This window comes from Homo sapiens, chromosome 4 (genome assembly GCF_000001405.40).
Source record: "Homo sapiens chromosome 4, GRCh38.p14 Primary Assembly".
NCBI classification, from domain to species: Eukaryota; Metazoa; Chordata; class Mammalia; order Primates; family Hominidae; genus Homo; species Homo sapiens.
Genome location: NC_000004.12, coordinates 78,397,715 through 78,416,353, shown reverse-complemented (window position 1 = coordinate 78,416,353; position 18,639 = coordinate 78,397,715). Strand labels below are relative to the sequence as shown.

Genomic DNA, 18,639 nt, shown 5'->3' with positions numbered 1-18,639 from the left:
TGCAAAGCTGAAATTCTATATCCATTGAACAACTCCCCCTTTCTCCCTCTCTCATCACATCACGCACTCTACCCCTGGTAACTACCATTCTACTTTCTACTTCTTTTGACTACATTCTACTTTATATCTTATATAAGCAGAATCATGCAGTTTTTGTTCCTTTGTGACTGGCTTATTTTACTTATCATAATGTCTTAAACATTCATCTATGTTGTAGCCTGTGACAGGATTTCCTTCTTTTGTAAGGTTGAATAATATTCCTCTCTCTCTGTGTGTGTACGTCTGTATCACATTTTCTTTATCCATTTCTCTGCTGATAGACATTTAGATTGCTTCCACATCTTGGCTATTGTGAATAATGCTACAATGAACATGCATGTGCAAATATCTTCAAGATCTCCTGAACTCTTAACCATGGGCTCATGCCACTAATTGTTCTTGCTCTAGATGACTGCAATAGCCTGTTTGTTTTCTGACTGGCCCCCATCTAGGATGTTTTCTACCCTGTAGCCAGAATGATCTTCCTAAATGTATCATTAAAAATCTGATCATGGCACTTCTTTGCTACAAATCCCTCAACACCTTATTTGCCTCAAAAGCCTTTCAGGACAAAATGGAAATTCTTATCTTATACTTAAGGTCTTCCATGATCTGACTCTCATTTCTTACTGCGTTTTCACTTAACAGATTTTATGCTCCAGCCAACTGAACAACCTGTAATGCTTCAAATATGTCGTGTTCTCCCATGTCTCCACCTTTTTTCACCTGTTGCTCCTCAAGACTGGGATACATTCCCCCCAGTTTAGTCTGGATCAATGGTTCTTCAAGTGTGGTGATCTGGGAAGCAGCAAACAGCATTACCTGGAAACTCTTTAGAAATGCAAATTCTTGACCCTACACCAGATCCACTGAATTAGAAAACACTGTGGTAGGTTCCAGCAATCTGTGTTTTATTTTTTTAATTTTTAATTTTTTTAATTTTTTATTTCCATAGATTTTTGGGGGGAACAGATGGTATTTGGTTACATGAGTAAGTTCCTTAGTTGTGATGCGTGAGATTTTGGTGCACCCATCACCAAAGCAGTATGCACTGAACTCAATTTGTAGTCTTTTATCCCTCACCTATTATTCTAAGTGAAGTAATTCAGGAATGGAAAACCAAACATTGTATGTTCTCACTCATAAGTGGGAGCTAAGCTATGAGGATGCAAAGGCATAAGAATGATACAATGGACTTTGGGGACTCAGAGGGAAGGAGTAGGAAGTGGGTGAGCGCAATCTGTGTTTTCATCAACTCTATAGTGATTCTAGTATAGGATTAAGTTTGAGAACCCTGATCTCTAGATAATTTACACTCACCCAGCTCTGTTCACCCCCAGAGGAAGCTTCTGTGACCCTCTCTCATGCTCTGCTGGATTTGGTGCCCTCCCATTTGCTCCCATATCATTGCTCTGCCATGGCATTTATTATTGTATTATCCCTGCTTATTTATTTGCTTGTCTCCTCTTTTAAACTCAAAGTTCCTTGAGAATAAAGACTGTGTTTTATGGTCATTGACTCTCCAATGTCTTCCACAGCACTTAACATACATTAGGAGCTCAAAAGTGTTTATGAATGAGAGACTGAATGAATGGAGAAGTAGATTCCTACCTTTAATCACATATACAAGTATACTAAATATGCCATATAGTTATTTACCATATGCATTCACAATATATTTACCAAATATCTGCAAAACTTATGTTATTAGATGAGACTAAATGACTAAATTGAGAATGCATTTTTATTACAGATCACAAGTATGTCCTATCATAATGGCCCTAATTAGTATCAAAAAATATATAAACTGTATATTTTAAGTAACGTACGAGTAGACTAATCACATTTAACAGTAAACTAACCTAAGTTTTAACTGGACAGACCTAATTCGCAAGTATGCAACCTAAGCGCCTAAAGGCTAAGTGACTTGAAAAGTCTCTTCAGAGGTCCACAGTGACAGCACAGGAAACAGCACTGTCTTCCTGGCTCCTGGCCCATTATTTCCTCCAAACTCAAAATAACACTGCATTAGCATTTGGCAAGACCTGTGTGTGCACATTTTTCTTAACAGTTTAGAGAAAATTCTGATCCAAGTTCCTCCAGTCAGAATGATGAATTACAGACTTTATAGGGCTGCTGAATTATGATTTCTTTAAATTACGGTTTATGGTGGAAATGCCGATACCAGCTATTCATTAAAAACTTTCTATTTTCCCCTTTATGTCTCTGTCATAACCCAGACCCATAATTTCTAAAACTATAGCTATTCTCTTTGTTGTGGCTCAAGGCTGATACAGTACTTTGGAGTGTAATTGTGTGGGTGCTAACTAAAATGTGGACCCATGATGATTAATTTACAAGGTCTTATATGCTTGCGGCTCTGTCTGGAAGAGGGGTTTTGGCATTACAGCACTCACCCTCTCCCCTCCCCAGACAGAGGGTCACGGAGGAGTTGCTAATTGTCTCAACTAAGCTTCATGTACCAATTTAGTTGACACCTTGCTTCACATTTTCCCATGACCCACACTCCTTCCCACCAGCATACGAGGCTTTCTGTGATAGCTTGATGACCTCCTTATCCTCATCACACATCCTTGCTGCCTTCCTGATTTCTCCAGTCTTGTTGAACTGTTTGCAATTTAGCAACAGTTCTATTCTCTCTCACCTGTGGGTCTTTCCATGTGCTCTTTTCACTTGTGGCAGTGCCCTTTGTCATCACCTCTCCATTCCTCCCAATGTGTCCCCAGATTTTCACTTGGATAACTGCTATTTATCTTTCTGGATTCAGCATTGACAGAACCTTCTCTAGGAAACTTTTACAGTGGAAAGCTTCTCATAGGGCTTCTAGAAGATGGAATAATAATTTCTCTGCTAGGTGGTGCCATAACTGGGGGACCAATGATACCCAAATATTGATTTCATGGACATAAGCCTGAAATTTCCTCCAAATTTTCAAGGAGGACCCCTGGAACATCTGGAATACTGTAGAAAGGACATCAGCGATGGATGGGAGGTCAATACGGATTCCGCATAACCTTCCTTTCACTCTGGGAATTTTAAGTTCCTTTTTCAAGTCAATGAGAAATGTGACCACTAGGCTTTTTGGCCCCCAAGTCTGTGATCTGGGCCAGGCACTTACTATATACAAAACCAGGACACTCTATCAAATCCCATCAGCGTGCTGTGTGCCTCCTCTAAGTGGAAACCACAAGCCTCCCACCCAACTCACAGTCATATGGAGAGATGCTTCCAGAGACACTTTAGGTGCTTCAGGTGTCTGTGGTAAGATCGCGATGTTGAACATGTGGCTCTCCAGGCGGGTCTGGGCATTGGAGGCACTGGACACCTGAAAAGAAAGTCATCCTGGTGAGCCTCTCATCTTCTATTGAGCAGAGCATGTTAGTACGTGGGTTTTTCCCTCTTTTAAGCCAGCTGTCTTTGAATTCTATATGCTCCTGCGTTACAACTCTCATTCTGCCCTTCATATTTTAATATTGATCTTTTACTGATTCATATTTTAATATTGATCTTTTACTGATTTCATTTTAAGCAAAGTTGAAAATGCAGGAAAGCATAAATAAGCAATAAAAAATCATCTAGAATTTCACTATCTAGAAATAGTGAATATTCATATGTTGATATTTAACTTATTTTATATGCACACATATCAATTACATATTATAATTTTTTACTTACAATACTATGATAGTTTGCTGTATCATGAAACATGCTAGAAAACATAATTTTTGAGAACTATATAATGTCTTATTATGAGTATGTAATATGATTTGTATTCCATTTCTTTCATTTTTAACCAGCACAGGTAAGTGATAGGTAAGTAATAAATCTCAGCCTCATCATTGCAGGGCAAGATTAGTAACATTCACAATTACTGTAATGGTCACAAAATCAACTTTTTCCTGCTGCAAAAACCTGAAGAATGTTGCTTTTTCTATGCAGCTTCTCCCTCCTCATCAGTTACTGGACCACCCTCTTAAACCTTCTTTCTCTCCATTGTTTGCTAAGCCATGTGTGACATGTGGAGTTGCATTAATTCCATATGGCAGGCGGCTGAGTTCTATCAATTCTGAGAAAAAGAGGCAGGGATAGCAGCCCTTTCCCTATGTCTTTAAAAGTTACTCCAACAGAAAGCCTGTCTTCTCTGTCTTTATCTTGATCACATCAGATGCCTGGGATCGAGTCTCAAAATACACGTTTTTAAGGAGATATAGCATCACTGTAAATTATCTTACCAACAATAACTATAATTCACTCATCATCTATTATGGGCTCAGCACTGCATTAGCTACTTTTCAAGGGTTCTCTTACTTAGTATCCACAGAGTAGATATTATTATCCCCTTTTTTACAGGTGAGGAAACTGAATGTCAGAAAATTTAAGCAATGTGTCAAAGTCACAAAGCCAACAAGTGGCAGTATTTAACCAGATCAGTCAGGTTTATGATCATTCCACTGACCAAGATGACTCACTTTGGTAGCTTTAGGAAATTAGAAAAGGGGTGGCGGAGGGGTGCGGTGGCGGAATATATTCTATCTTTTGAAGAAAAAGAACCAAACATTGAATAGGTAGTGAAATGTGGTCATATTACTGAGCAAGTGAATCAATCTAGTAAAGACACTGATGGGAGATGTGTTGGTCTGTTTTGAACCACATTTCCTAAGGCTGTGTCAAAGTGACCTGAATATACCCAAACCAGGGCTCCTTCCCACACCAAAAAATGACTCTGAATGTGCATGCTTTCTTTGCACTATGCCATGCTCTATTTTCTAATCCCACTGGCATTACATATGTCCCAAATCTTAGATGCAAAGTAACAGATGGGAGCCACTGATGGCTCATGACAGCACATCAACATTAAAATGGCATTAAATCCATGCAACTCGGCTGGACGGGGTGGCTCACGCCTGTAATCCCAGCACTTTGGGAGGCCGAGGTGGGCGGATCACTTGATGTCAGGAGTTCGAGACCAGCCTGGCCAACATGGTGAAATCCTGTCTCTACTAAAAATACAAAAAATTAGCTGGGCATGGTGGCGGGCACCTATAATCCCAGCTACTCGGGAGGCTGAGGTAGGAGAACTGCTTGAACCTGGGAGGTGGAGGTTGCAGTGAGCCAAGATCGCACCACTGTACTCCAGCCTGGGCAACTGAGTGAAACTCTGTCTCAGAAAAAAAAAGAAAAAAAATCCATGCAACTCATTATACTGCATTTCCTGCTTTAAAGAAAAAAAAGAAAAAAGGAAAAGAATTATTAGAAAAGGATTTGTTTAAAGTTTGAAATCCTTTAGGGACACTAAAATGATGAATGGGAAAATTTGCTAACCACTTACGTTAGCACCTAGCTCTAGTGTCTATCTCATTTCAAATCAAAATATTAGGTATGCCTATAAAACAATGAGACTTTAGAATAAACATGCCAAAACTTTTACATCAGGAGAACATAATCCCAGAGAGTTGTTTCATATTTGCAACAAAGATGCTGTCAGTGTTCAAAATGCATTTTTGGAATGCCTTCAGACAAAGTTTACAAATCACATAGGAACTCTGAGCCCATTATTCCATAATTACTCCCCACTTTAACCCAAAATAATCACCACTGTTTTTCTCACCAGACCTTAGTCTGACTTTTGACTATTTAGCTATATTTTTTAATCCACTTCCAAAAGATGATACACTGCCACTATGGAGGACATTCTAAAGAATATCTCACTTTGAAGGCAATTTCACACAGGAGTTCTAAACACATTTTGAGCAAAATGTGTGAAGACTCTGTAAAGGGAACCACTTTGTAAGTAATAATGTTCATTCAACTGGATGTCTTCATCCAGTGAGTTTTTTTTAAATCATTATTTTTTGTTATTTTATTTTTTATTTATTTATTTTTATTTTTTATTTTTTTCCATATATGGCCAATTTGTTTTCAATGAAAGTGCCAAATAACTCCAATGGACAGGGTAGTCTTTTTAATAATAATAATAATCATAAAGTATTTTTTATTATTTTTAAATCTTTATTTGCCTTATTTACTCAGTAACCAAATTACAAAAGCAATCAAATATTATTTTGAGCAGCTACTTAGATTCCCCTTCCAGGGAAGTGCTCCATATTGATAACATTCTCCTTCCTCACCCTACGAAGGCAAAGGCAGATCTGAGGATTCTAGTTTGCAGAGGTGACTTCTTTTGATTGAGGTCTTTGCCTTCATTCTGACTCATTCTTTGATGACTGCTGCAATCCCCAGGTGCTAAAAATGAAAAGTTAACTTGGGCAAAGGGCACCCAATGTTTGCTCACTCATTGGAAATTCAGTGTGCTCAGGATAATCTCATTTTAATGGTTTCCAAATTTATCTCAACCCGCTCTCTGGAAAAGCACATCTTTTACACAATATAAATTAGTCAGGCGATGAAGATGTACATGCCAGGCATCAGAAGCAGAATGGATGATCATTTTAACAAGGTGAGCTGGGTGAGTTCAGCCCCACCTGGATTCCTAGACAAAGGAAAAGACTCAGACTTTGAGAGGCCCTGACACCGCTTTGGCTGATCCCCATAAACATAGATATTTTCTCTGACACTTTACCAAATTCTTCTTGGTATCTGTGCTTAAACACCCTTTCTTATTCATAATTCCTTATTCTTTTGTATTTCTGTATGATTCTTTATTTCCAAATCATGCTCGCCAGAGGTCTGCCTAATTTTATTGATCTTCAAAGAATCAGGTTTTGTATTTGTTCATCATTTCTAGCATTTTATAATTAACCAATTCCTCTGCTTATCTCTACTAATTCCTTCCTTTTGCTTTCCTTAGGTTTCCCTTGCGGTTCTCTGGCTTCTTGAGTTAAATATTTTGTCCACGTATTTTAATGCTTTCTTGCTCAATAATAAGAGCTTAAGGCCATCAATTTTCTTCTGAGTACAATTTTGTCCATATGATTTAAGTTTTGATAGGTTATTTCCTCCTCATCAATATTTCTTAAGTGTTTGCTGTTTTGACTTTCTTTAAAGAATTTCCTAGTAATTATTTAAGAGACCATTTAAAATATTCCAAGTGGCCTGAATTTTTGTTTATCCTTTTATTATTAATTTATAATTTATAATTATATTTATAATAGCCAGAGAACATATGCAGTATAATTTTTCTTTTGTTTTCTTTTTGTCTTTTTTTTTTTTTTTTTGAGAGAGGGTCTCGCTCTGTCATCCAGGCTAGAGTGCAGTGGCGTGATCATGGCTCAGTGCAGCCTCCACCTCCCAGGCTCAAGTGATCCTCCACCTCCCAGGCTCAAGTGATCCTCCCGCCTAGCTGCCACCATGCCCAGCTAATTTTTGTATTTTTTGCGAGACAGGGTTTCACCATGTTGCCCAAGCTGGTCTCAAACTCCTGGACTGACGCAATCTGCCTGCCTTGGCCTCCCGAGGTGTTGAGATTACAAGTGTGAGCCACTATGCCCAGCCTATGCAGTATACTTCTTGTCCTTTAATCTACTGAAGGTCTCCTTATGGTCTGGTATTTGACCAATTTTTATAAATGGTAATAACAAACCCTTATATAATGCTACCTATCTGATATGCAGTATTCGAAGTACTCTATCTGTATTAACTCATTAAATCATCACAATAATCCTATTTGACAGACAAGGAAAATGAAGCACAGAAGTTTTTCTCAAGTAATTTGCCCAAAGTTGTGTAGCTAGTAAGTGGCAGAACTGACACCTAAACATGTTGAGTTTGGCTATAGGCCCATGATCTTATCACAAGATAGTAAGTGTTCCAAGAACATTCAAAACTAGAAGGTAAGATTTTTTTTTCTCCATATAGTATTTTTATATTTTAAAGACTTTTCTTCTGAACACTTTGGCCATTATCTAACCTAAACATCTTGGTTGTGGATAACTCTGCTTGTAAAGATACACATATATCTGAACTGACAAATTAAAAAAACTCCTAATGCTATGAATTATATTTTGTAGGGAATTCCACTGATATGGAATCCATATCAGTGTCCCCATCCAATTCTCGTCTTGAATCATAGCTCCCATAATTCCCATGTGTTGGAGGGACCCGGTGGGAGACAACAATCACGGGGGCAGTTTCCCCCATACTGTTCTCATGGTAGTGAGTAAGTCTCACAAGATCTTATGGTTTATAAGAAGTTTCCCTTTTCACTTGGCTCTCATTCTCTCTTGCCTCCCACCATGTAAGACATGTCTTTCGCTTTCCACTGTGATTGTGAGGCCTCTCCAGCCACATGGAACTGTGAGTCCATTAAACCTCTTTTTCTGTGTAAATTACCCAGTCTCGGGTATGTCTTTATCAGTAGCATGAAAATGAACTAACACGTCCCCCAAATGTGATTTCCTGTCAACTGCAGAAAATTACTCAAGTTGATTATAAATAAGAGCGATTGGATTATTGGATTCATCAGACTTCAGAAAAGTCAGGAAGCAGAGGGTACCTCGAAGCGGAAGGAGTCGCTCTGGGCTGGGGCTCCTGAGTGCCTGTACCATACGATGCCTTCATTGATGTCCTGCTGGGTGAAGGTGCTGGTGGGGGTAGCTGTCCTCCCATCAGGCAGGTGCTGCCCTTCATCTGCAGGGCTGTCTGCAGGCATATTCACTAGAAGGACCACCTCCCCTAGGAAGGCACAGGCCACATAGTTAGTGAGGGTCCCTAGGAAAAGTCAGAGCCCTTACCTCCTTTCCTACTACTCATTTTTTTTTTAACTAGAAAGAAATGATGTACTTCTTTATTTTTGTCTAAGGTGAAGGAGAGGATGTTAACACATAATTCAATGGACAGTATTGAATCCACCTTTAGAAACAAAATTCTCAGGCTTTCTGCTAAAAGAACTAAAAGTCATTCAAGGACAATTCATGTATGAAGTTACTGACTTATTATCTATTAAAAATTACATAAGGAGAGCCAGATAGTAGCAAATACTATAGACAAATACTCAAATACTGGGCATTGAATGGATTCATTTCTATGCACAACTTTCTATGTAACAGAAAATGTTTTCCAGCCAGGAAGTTTTTGCTGAAAACATAATGGGAAATTAGAAACAATTCAGTGGAAAATTTTCATGAGAGAATTCTGTCCAATGATAGTAATACAGGTTCAATTTCTCTTATCTGAAATTCTTAGGACCAGAAGTGTTTCAGATTTCTATTTTTGAATATTTGCATATACATAATGAGATATCTTGGATTCAGGACCCAAGTCTAAACATGAAACTCATTTATGTTTTATATACACTTTACACACATAGCCTGAAGGTAATTTTATATAATGTTTAAAAATAAATTTTGTGCATGAAACAAGTTTTGGCTGTAACCTTTCACGTGAGGTCAGGGTAGAATTTTCCACTTGTGGCATCATGTCAGTGCTTTCAACGTTATGGATTTTGGAGCATTTCAGATTTCAGATTTTTGGATTAGGGATGCTCAACTTGTAATAGCTAACAGTGGAAGACATACGGCAGGCACCCCACTATACCCTATGTGGTGATTCAAACCCAGCTCCATTGTTTCCAGCTGAGTGAGCTTCCTTAAGCTCCATAAGCCTTCATTCCTCATTCGTAAAAAGAAAATAATAGTATATGCTTTACAGGTGCTTAAAGATCATCTTTCTTGACATAGTTTGGCTGTGTCCCTACCCAAATCTCAACTTGAATTGTATCTCCAAGAATTCCCACATATTGTAGAAGGGACCCAGGGGAAGGTAATTGAATCATAGGGGCCGGTCTTTCCCATGCTATTCTCCTGATAATAAATAAGTCTCACGAGATCTGATGGGTTTATCAGGGGTTTCCGCTTTTGCCTCTTCCTCATTTTCTCTTGCTGCTGCCATGTAAGAAGTGCCTTTCTCCTCCTGCCATGATTCTGAGGCCTCCCCAGCCATGTGGAACTGTGAGTCCAATTAAACCTCTTTCTCTTCCCAGTCTTAGGTATGCCTTTATCAGCAGTGTGAAAACAGACTAATACACTTCTATTAATTCTATTTAATTATTCTGAATGATGCCATTATTGTCTTCATTTTACAGATGAAGGTCTTCAGGTTCAGAGTTTAATAACGTTAGAAGTTACACAAATGTTAAGTTGATGAGCTGGGATTTGAATCTGATCATGAAGCTGGTCATGAAGCTCTGTTACCAATCATCATTATTTTGTGAACATGTACCAGTATTTACACTGCTAAATAACTTATCATGTTTTCTCCTCCTTCATTCTTTAAACTTTATTGGAACTGAGGCAAGGAAATCTAAATCTAAACACCACCATCACCAGCAATCTGTTTGTACTGCTTGTTCTTCACCTAAAGCACCTTGACCTTCACCTACTATCTTCTTAAAGTGAGACTGAAAATACAGAGGTGTTATAGAAACAATTAAAATTTCACAGGAGACTATGCCTTCAATTGAAGACCAAACAGAAGAATGGATGAACTGCTGCAAGCAGAAGCTATATTCTCATGAAAATGCATCTAACAATAAATCTGAAAGAAGCCACCCTAACACTCTGATAGTGGGAGGGAGAGGGTGAGGAAGAGGGAGAGAGAAAGAGAGACAGAAAGATAGAGTGTCAATTTTTAAAATATTCTATAGGAGAATACTCGAATCTTAATACACTAGACACTAGACATATTGGGCAATTGATGGCATATTTGATTACCCTAGAGAAATTAGTTTTCTTACTCAATGCAGACACTCATTCTAATATTTATATGCACTAAATTCAAGTATAGAACAAGTATAATATTCTGGATGGTAATGAAATACCAAAATAAGAGAGAAACATGACTACACTACTCTTTATATAATCATATGTTGAGTCAACTCACTGTAGTTTTCTTTCTTGTATTATAACTTATTTGTACTCAAGTAGAAAAAAATTCCATTACCTTTCTCTCCCTGGTTCAACTTCCATTCCTAAGATGCTGTCAATAAACATAGATTTCTAGGATGTGGACTATTTATGAATGTGAGTACAGTTGCAAAATATTGTGAAAGAAAATTTCCACAATGAAAATGTGGACAGTAGAAAACATTCAAATGCTGATTTCCTAGTTATTCTGCTTTTATGATAAAAAAGCAAAGCAGAATTTTCCTAATAAGCCCTAATGAAACAAACCTAAATTTTTATGTAAAAAATCACTTTCATGTCATACAGATTAACAGGAATCGTAAGATATTTGCTAATCCCATTAATTTTAACTCAATAAATAGTCATTGAGTACCCATTAGGTACTAATGACTGTGGTAGGCCCTTCAGGAATGGAGGGATTCAAAGCTAGGCCACATGCAGCTCCTACCCCAAAGATTAGCCCCATAAGCAACTGGGAGTCACTGTTAGTTTTCCAGTAGGTGAATGACATGAATCGATTTAGAATACACAACATGTGGTCAGAATATAGAAAGCCTGTAAGAGTTGAAGGTCCTGTTAAAGGGGCTGGACTTCATTCTATAAAAGTGGTAACAACAGTAGCTAAGATTTATATAGATGGTTTGACCAATTATAAGACTACTGACAAATCCAGAGGAGAGATGGGAACCTGAACTAAGACAACAGAGGTGAGACTGTAAAGAAACACAGATGCAAGAGTAACTGAGGAAGTGGGAGCAATGGAACTTGACAAAGGTTTCTGTGAAGGATGACAGAGGAAGGCATCAACGAGAATCACCTATTGGGATAGATGACTGGATGCCACTACTGGCCATCAATCATACAGAAGGAGGAGGGGGTTGGAGGGAAGATGAAGGGTTCAGTACTGGACATGCTGAATACAGGTGCCTTTGTGACAAGTCCATGAGTGGACAAGGAGAAATATCAACCTATTGTGGGATTCTCTGCAGACGGGTGAGAGCTAACCTTCTTCTTTTTTTTTTTTTTTGTAGTACCTCACCTATGCTTTAATCGTAATATGACAACAAAAAGATAATATTTTAAACATGAAAACCCAAGTTTAAAAAACAGAAAATGATCTCTACTGGGGATTTCCTTTATACTGAAGTCTATATTTTAACCTATAATTTTGAAGGGAAGATTTAGTAGGTATTAAGAATTGGAATATCATTTGAATCTCCATGAATTATTTTGAGATTGAGATCATTCATATGAACGTATCTTACATTATGATAAATAATTTGGAATTGCCAATGCATTAGGTTAAATCAGATTCTCCTTCAAATGATTCTCAAGTTATTTATTAAAACCATCTCATCATATCTACTTTCAAATCTAAGTAAGTAGCTACAGATACAAGTATTAATCAAGTTGTCTAAATTTATACAGATACTCCTTGAGTTCCAGTGGTTTGACTTATAATTTTTTGAAGTTACAATGGTGCAAAACCATTGTTTTTCACTTTCAGTACAGTAGTTAATAAGTTACATGAGATATTTAACAGTTAATTATAAAACATGCTTTATGTTAGATGATTTACCTAACTCTAGGCTAATGCAAATATTCTGGGCACATTTAAGGTAGGCTAGGCTAAGCTATGATGTTCGGTAGGTTAGGTGTTTTAAGTGTATTTTCAATTAACGATAATTTCAACTTATGATGAGTTTAACAGGGTGTAAGTTGAGGAACATCTGTATCTGAAAACGGTGGTGAGTCTGCAAGTGGTTGAACTCAGGTCCTTCATGCACATACTATACAAGCAATTTACATTTGGTTCTGTTTCAAGGCGTCAGCTCTTCACAAAAAGCCCAAAGTCCAGCTTGAACTTTCTTAAGTGATGAGGGAGTACAAGGTAAAGTCTCCACAAATTTACGTAATTGGGACTGATAGATGCAAGCAGATTTGTGCTAAGTGGACTTTTAGTTCCCACCACCAATTTCACTCCTGAATGGTTTCTAGGTAACGTGATTTGATTATTACTAATAGGGGGCTCTGGATACACGGAAAGATCATGTTCATAGGAAGAAGTTAATTAAAAGAGTTACAGCAGGAAAGCATCACAATAAAGCATACGTGATATTTATCAAACTGAAATGGCAAAATTTTATCTGCTTAAAAAAACATTTAATTCAGCGTTGTTTTGTTTAAGACTTAATGGAATATTGGTTGTTTCTAGGAAATTTGGGGGCTTAATTTTTTGTCTTTTACTGATGAAGATAAAGGTAGAGAATTTAATACATCAAAAGAGTCATAGATTTTTAGAGATGAAAAGGACCTTAAAAATATCTAGCTTAAAATCAGTAGTTGAAAGTACGATGAGAACAGGAAACTTACTAATTACAAATGGAAAAATAGTAACTTTAGAGTGGAAAAATCTGGTAGACACCACTTTAACCAAGTGATCAAAGTTAACATCACCTGTCATAAGACGCAGTGAGATTATGTACCTCCTGATGATGCACTGAGAAAGGGGGAAAAGCACAACCTTAACCCAATCATGAGAAATCATCCTCAGACTAACAAATTGAGTGAGAGTCTACAAATATCTGACCAGCACTCTTCAAAAGAGTCAGTGTCATAAAAGACAAAGACGGAGGAAGTGTGTGTCGCAGATTGGAGGAAACCAAGAAGACGTGGCAAATAAGTGTAATTGAGATCCTGGATTGGGTCATAGAAAGGGCATTGGTGGGAAAACTGGCAAAATTTGAATAAGGCCTGTGAATTGATTAATAGTATCATATCAGTGTTAATTTCCTGGTTTCAATAATTGTTCTATAGTTATAAGACGTTAACATTAGGGGAGGATAAGGGTATTCAAGAGCTTTTATTCTGTTTTTGCAACTGTTTAGTCTAAATGTTTTTTTAAATTTTTTTAATGTTTACCCTAACTTCTCGAAGAAACCTATGGCACAAGACCTTATACCTGCCATTTTCAAGGTTACATAGCCATAATAAATGACATCTCAGCTAGACTGACCATTTTATAATTATAATACCAATTCTCGATTAGGTGGCTTTTCAATGTCTTTGTGGACATTGGAACTATTTTTAAATTAAATAAAAGTTAATTTTTTTCTCCCTACAGAAAATATATAATTAAAAAAATCTGACAGCCTAGAGGAAAAACAGATTATTCTTCCTCTGCTATTTAATATGCCAAGTGAGTTTTTACTTTTAATGGCTATAATTTTCATTTTCACATGATCAATTTAGTTATTTTAAAAAATCTACCTGTTCCTTTATTTTTCTATCATGTTGCTATTTCCACAGTTTTAATTCCTTCTTTTATGTCTTTAAATCATTTTAAATCTGCTTATTTCACAGTTTTTATAAGACTGTTACTTTATTTGAAATTCTTGGGGTTTTAGTCTTCTTGCTCGTTTTGGTTATGGTACTACAGATTATTTCCTCCCATATTCCATAATTTTAAATTCTGAGCTTCATTGGTTTCTTCTGAGAATCCCACGTAGCCTAGCAGAGAGTAGGCCTTCTGTGGTAGTTTCTATTAGTTTCAATAAAGAACTCAAGACATATCATTGGTCTGAGATTAATTTTCATAAAATACCTCAGCTTCAGGTTTCTTAGACAAGACACATGGTCTAATTTAACCTGAGATTTACCGGAAAAATAGGCCTAAAGTTCTGAATTTTCACCAGGCTTTTTTTTTTTTTCTACTCTGACTCCAAGAAAGAGGCAGATTTCTCTGCCATGTCTCTGTGCTGATAAGCTTCTTGTTTCTACTCTGTCCCTTTAATTGAAAGCATGTCCTTCCAGAGTCCTGGCTTTATGCAGCATCTTAATTCCAATGCTCTGTCTCCGCATGGACATTAAATCCCAAGCCCCTGGGTTATTGAGACATTCACAACCCCTTTTGGAGAAGCTATGCTATTAAGCTCATGCAATAACTGGCCTTCAGTGTCCTCTTTGTTGCTGGCACCTGGAGATTTCTCTCTATCCTTGGGAAGTCAGCTACGAACACCTTATAATTCTTGTTATATTTTATCCAGCATTTCTGGGTGATGATAATGGGAAATTTCTCAGGTTTTCTTATTTGACTACCTTGCTGGAAGTAGAAGTAACACTGGAGAACACTGAAAAATGTTTTCATGTTATTTTTTTTAAGTCTCATTAAGAAGAAGTCTAGTGATATCCTAAAAGGCATATAATACAGAGTTTGAGAGCCTGACCTTTGAAATTAAACTGACGTATATTAGTTAAGTGACTTGCAGCAAGCTACTTTACCCAGTATTTTTACCTGCAAAATGAAGTTGTTTTAAAACTTAAATTTTAGGTGTTACATATAACGTGTTTATAAACTTTAGTACACTACCTAGTAAATGTGTTGAGTGTGATAGCTATCATGATTATTCTGTTTTTAAAGGGGATTTGTAAGGTATTAGAAAGCTCAGTTCATTGGAATTGCAATCTTGCCACATGGCACTATACAGTAGCAAACCCTAGACTGCTGAATGCAACGATGAAACCACGCCAAAGGAAAAAATAGTTACCAAACTGGGGGTAGTCTTGTGTAATCTTGTAGATGATTTCTTCAGCACTGGCACCAGGAGCCTCGGCCTGTAAGATTCTGTTGGTGATCTGCAGCATCCCCCCTTCTGGAACCCACACCATCGAATTAGCCACAAGCTGAAGACCCCTGTCATTCTGAAATAAAAATAAAATGCAGAATTAGTTCCAAGCAAAGTAAGAATATATCAATCCTTAAACACATAAGTTATCCAGTTCTGTTGTTGTTAAAGATCGTCTAATAAGACAGAGAGATTCACAGCTTCAGAGTCACTCTATAGACTTTGTATTATGTGTAGACATGCATATTTATCTATATATTTACATATGTATATATCCTGCTTTTTCTTTTAGTTTATCATGAACCAACAACTTATTTAGAAAGACTAAGTCTCTCCATTTCTTTCTTTCATCTATCCATCAACCTGTCTTTCTATCCTCTCCACCCACCCATATTTAAGAATTATTCATTAAGCACCTATTATATGCCAGCTCCATTGCTAGAGGCCCGATATATACAAGATGTCTGAAGCAAAACCTTAACGTCAGAACTTACAGTCTAGTGGGAGAGACAGACACATAAATAATTAGGATGCTTCACGATTAATGCTCTATAAGAAGCTTGAGCAGGGAGCTGTGGGAGAATAGAGGAAGGAAGACTCGGGAAGATTTTCCTAAGAAAAATAATTTCATTTTGAATAACAAAAAAATTGGATTTCTAAGTAGAGACATGGTGAAACATATTCCAGACAGAGGGCCCAGCTTAAGTGAAAGCAAAGATGTGAGACAATGCACTGTATATTTCATAAAATGCCCAAGTGTCTGGTGCCAGTAGGGCTCAGGGAGCCAGGTTGGGGAGTGGATAAAAAGTGACACTGTCTTATGGAAGGTTAGTAGAAGATAGAAGCTATGCTAAAAGTCTCAATTCATCTCATAGGCACTGGAAAGTCAACACGAGTCTCCAGGGAAGAAAATGGGATGATCAGATCTAGGTTTTAGAAAGACAGGCTCCAATGGCAGGAGATGGAAATGACTAGCACTGAGATAAATCTAGAGCTGAAGATACCTTGTAATGGCTCAGGGGAGAGAAAATGAGGGCCTATGAGAGGGTAATCGCAGTGGTAAATCCAATGGTAAATTCATCGTAGACAGCAATAGATTCTAGAAGCACCACAGAAGCAGAACTGACAGGACCTGATGGCCGATTGAAAGTGAAGCAACAACAGTTAGGAGTAGCTGGCTGGAAGGAATCACCTATTCAGCACTCCTGAGAAGGCAATCATTTTAATTACTAAAGCTAATATCATTAAAAGTGCTGCCATTCCTGCTTTGCAAGGCACAAACCCTCTTCCAAAGCCTCATAATTGACATTTTCCACAGAAGGAGACTAGGGAGGCTGCCAGTGTTCAGTTTTCAAACTTCAAAAATTAACAAGTCTGATATTTTAACAAAGGGCATCTTAGAAGGGATGGTTTTCTATATTATTATTACTTTCAAATATGCCAATAAATGGAACAGAGCAAACACCACTCCCAGGAGAAGAATACTCTGAAAAGAAAACAACATCTATTCTTTTGCTCACTTGGCCCTTGAGCATCTCACCTCTCAGGAGTCAGTGATGGCTACTGTCATCATATATACACCAGGAAGCTGAGTCAAACAGTGCCCATGAGAACAGCAGCAACGGCACTTTCTAACCTGATTGGTGCTCAGGGCAAAATCCCAGAGAATATTCTCCTTTCTCAATTGACATAGCATATTATTTATAAAACATCAAAAACGTGTAAAAAAAACTTTATATATAATCACCAGAATTCTGAGGGAAAAGGCTCTATTAACTCCAGCAGTCTTGTATACCATGATATACTTGGGCCCAGGTTTTTTTTTTGAGACAGAATTTTGCTCTTGCTGCCCAGGCTGGAGTGCAATTGCACGAACTTGGCTCACCACAACCTCCGCCTCTCAGGTTCAAACAATTCCCCTGATTCAGCCTCCTGAGTAGCTGGGATTATAGGTGCCTACCACCATGCCTGGCTAATTTTTGTATTTTTAGTAAAGACTGGGTTTCACCATGTTGGCCAGGCTGGTCTCGAACTCCTGACCTTGTGATCTGCCTGCCTCGGCCTCCCAAAGTGTTGCGATTACAGGCGTGAGCCACCATGCCCGGCCCAGGTTTCTTAACTGTTAGAAATCTTTCTAATAGCAGCAGCCTACTGAACTTTGATTTTGGTTATGGAGACCAGTCATATGCCAACAACCACTTTATTAGACTGAGTAGGCAATGTGGTTTTTTCAGATTCTAAGCAAGTAGGCAGTGTGACATGAATGCATGTTCCCAGATGGCTTGCCCACTATATCTCCATCTTGGCTGTACTTATCAACACAATTCTCTATAATTCCTGTGTGAGTGTAACTTTTTAGACAATACACCTTGTGACTCAATGTGCAGAGACTAGCAGCACCTGGAAGCTCATTAAGATGTTCAGATTCTCAGGTCCCACCACAGACTTTCTGAATCAGAATCTGTACTTTGGAAAGATCCCAGAAGCTGTGCAGACATACTAACGCATGAAAAGCATGGTCCAAGGTAGAGGTCAAAATGGTTCTAGAGTGGGTCTCCTGAAGGTTCACAGCTGAGCCTTTTAGAATATTTATGTCTATAACAGGGTAATACATATGCCTCCATTTCTGAATGATTTTTTTGCAGTATATAAGGAGAAACAGATAACACTAAGAAAAAGAAGTATAATTCTTGGACATAAGCAAGATGGCAGAATAAGAGATTCCAGCTCTAAAACCTGTACAGAACACTAATTTTCACAACCATCTGCAGATGACAATACCTTCACAGAAGCCTGGGGTCTAGCTGAAAGTTTCCAGTACCCCAGTGGAGTAAAAGAAAAAAAAAATCAACAATAGATGCATTGAAGAGGGTAAGAAACACAGTTTCATTTTACCCTAATACTCTCCTCCAAGTACGCACAACTCAAGGCCAAGAGAGACCACTTCAGCCCATAATTTCTCCTACAGAGGAAAGTAAGATTGAAGTGAGTGCCCAGCTTCCCCAGCCTTGTGGGATGCTGCCTAAGAGATCCATTTCTGTCTCACTCCATCCAGAACACTGAAGGGATTAATATGTCTTCACAGCTGTCTAGGG

The 18,639-nt window shown here is 37.9% G+C and overlaps 1 protein-coding gene across 2 annotated transcripts in view; it reads right to left on the bottom strand.

Annotated features, from left to right (window-relative positions):
• Positions 1 to 18,639, bottom strand: part of FRAS1 (Fraser extracellular matrix complex subunit 1) — a 486,947-nt gene that overhangs the window by 127,916 nt on the left and 340,392 nt on the right. For both annotated transcript variants that reach the window (NM_025074.7, NM_001166133.2), the window contains exons 30-32: positions 15,467 to 15,620; positions 8,513 to 8,691; positions 3,269 to 3,385 (exon numbers count right to left, since the gene is read on the bottom strand). In NM_025074.7, coding sequence (NP_079350.5) covers positions 3,269 to 3,385; positions 8,513 to 8,691; positions 15,467 to 15,620 — 450 coding nt within the window. The remainder of the gene's footprint in view (positions 1 to 3,268; positions 3,386 to 8,512; positions 8,692 to 15,466; positions 15,621 to 18,639) is intronic.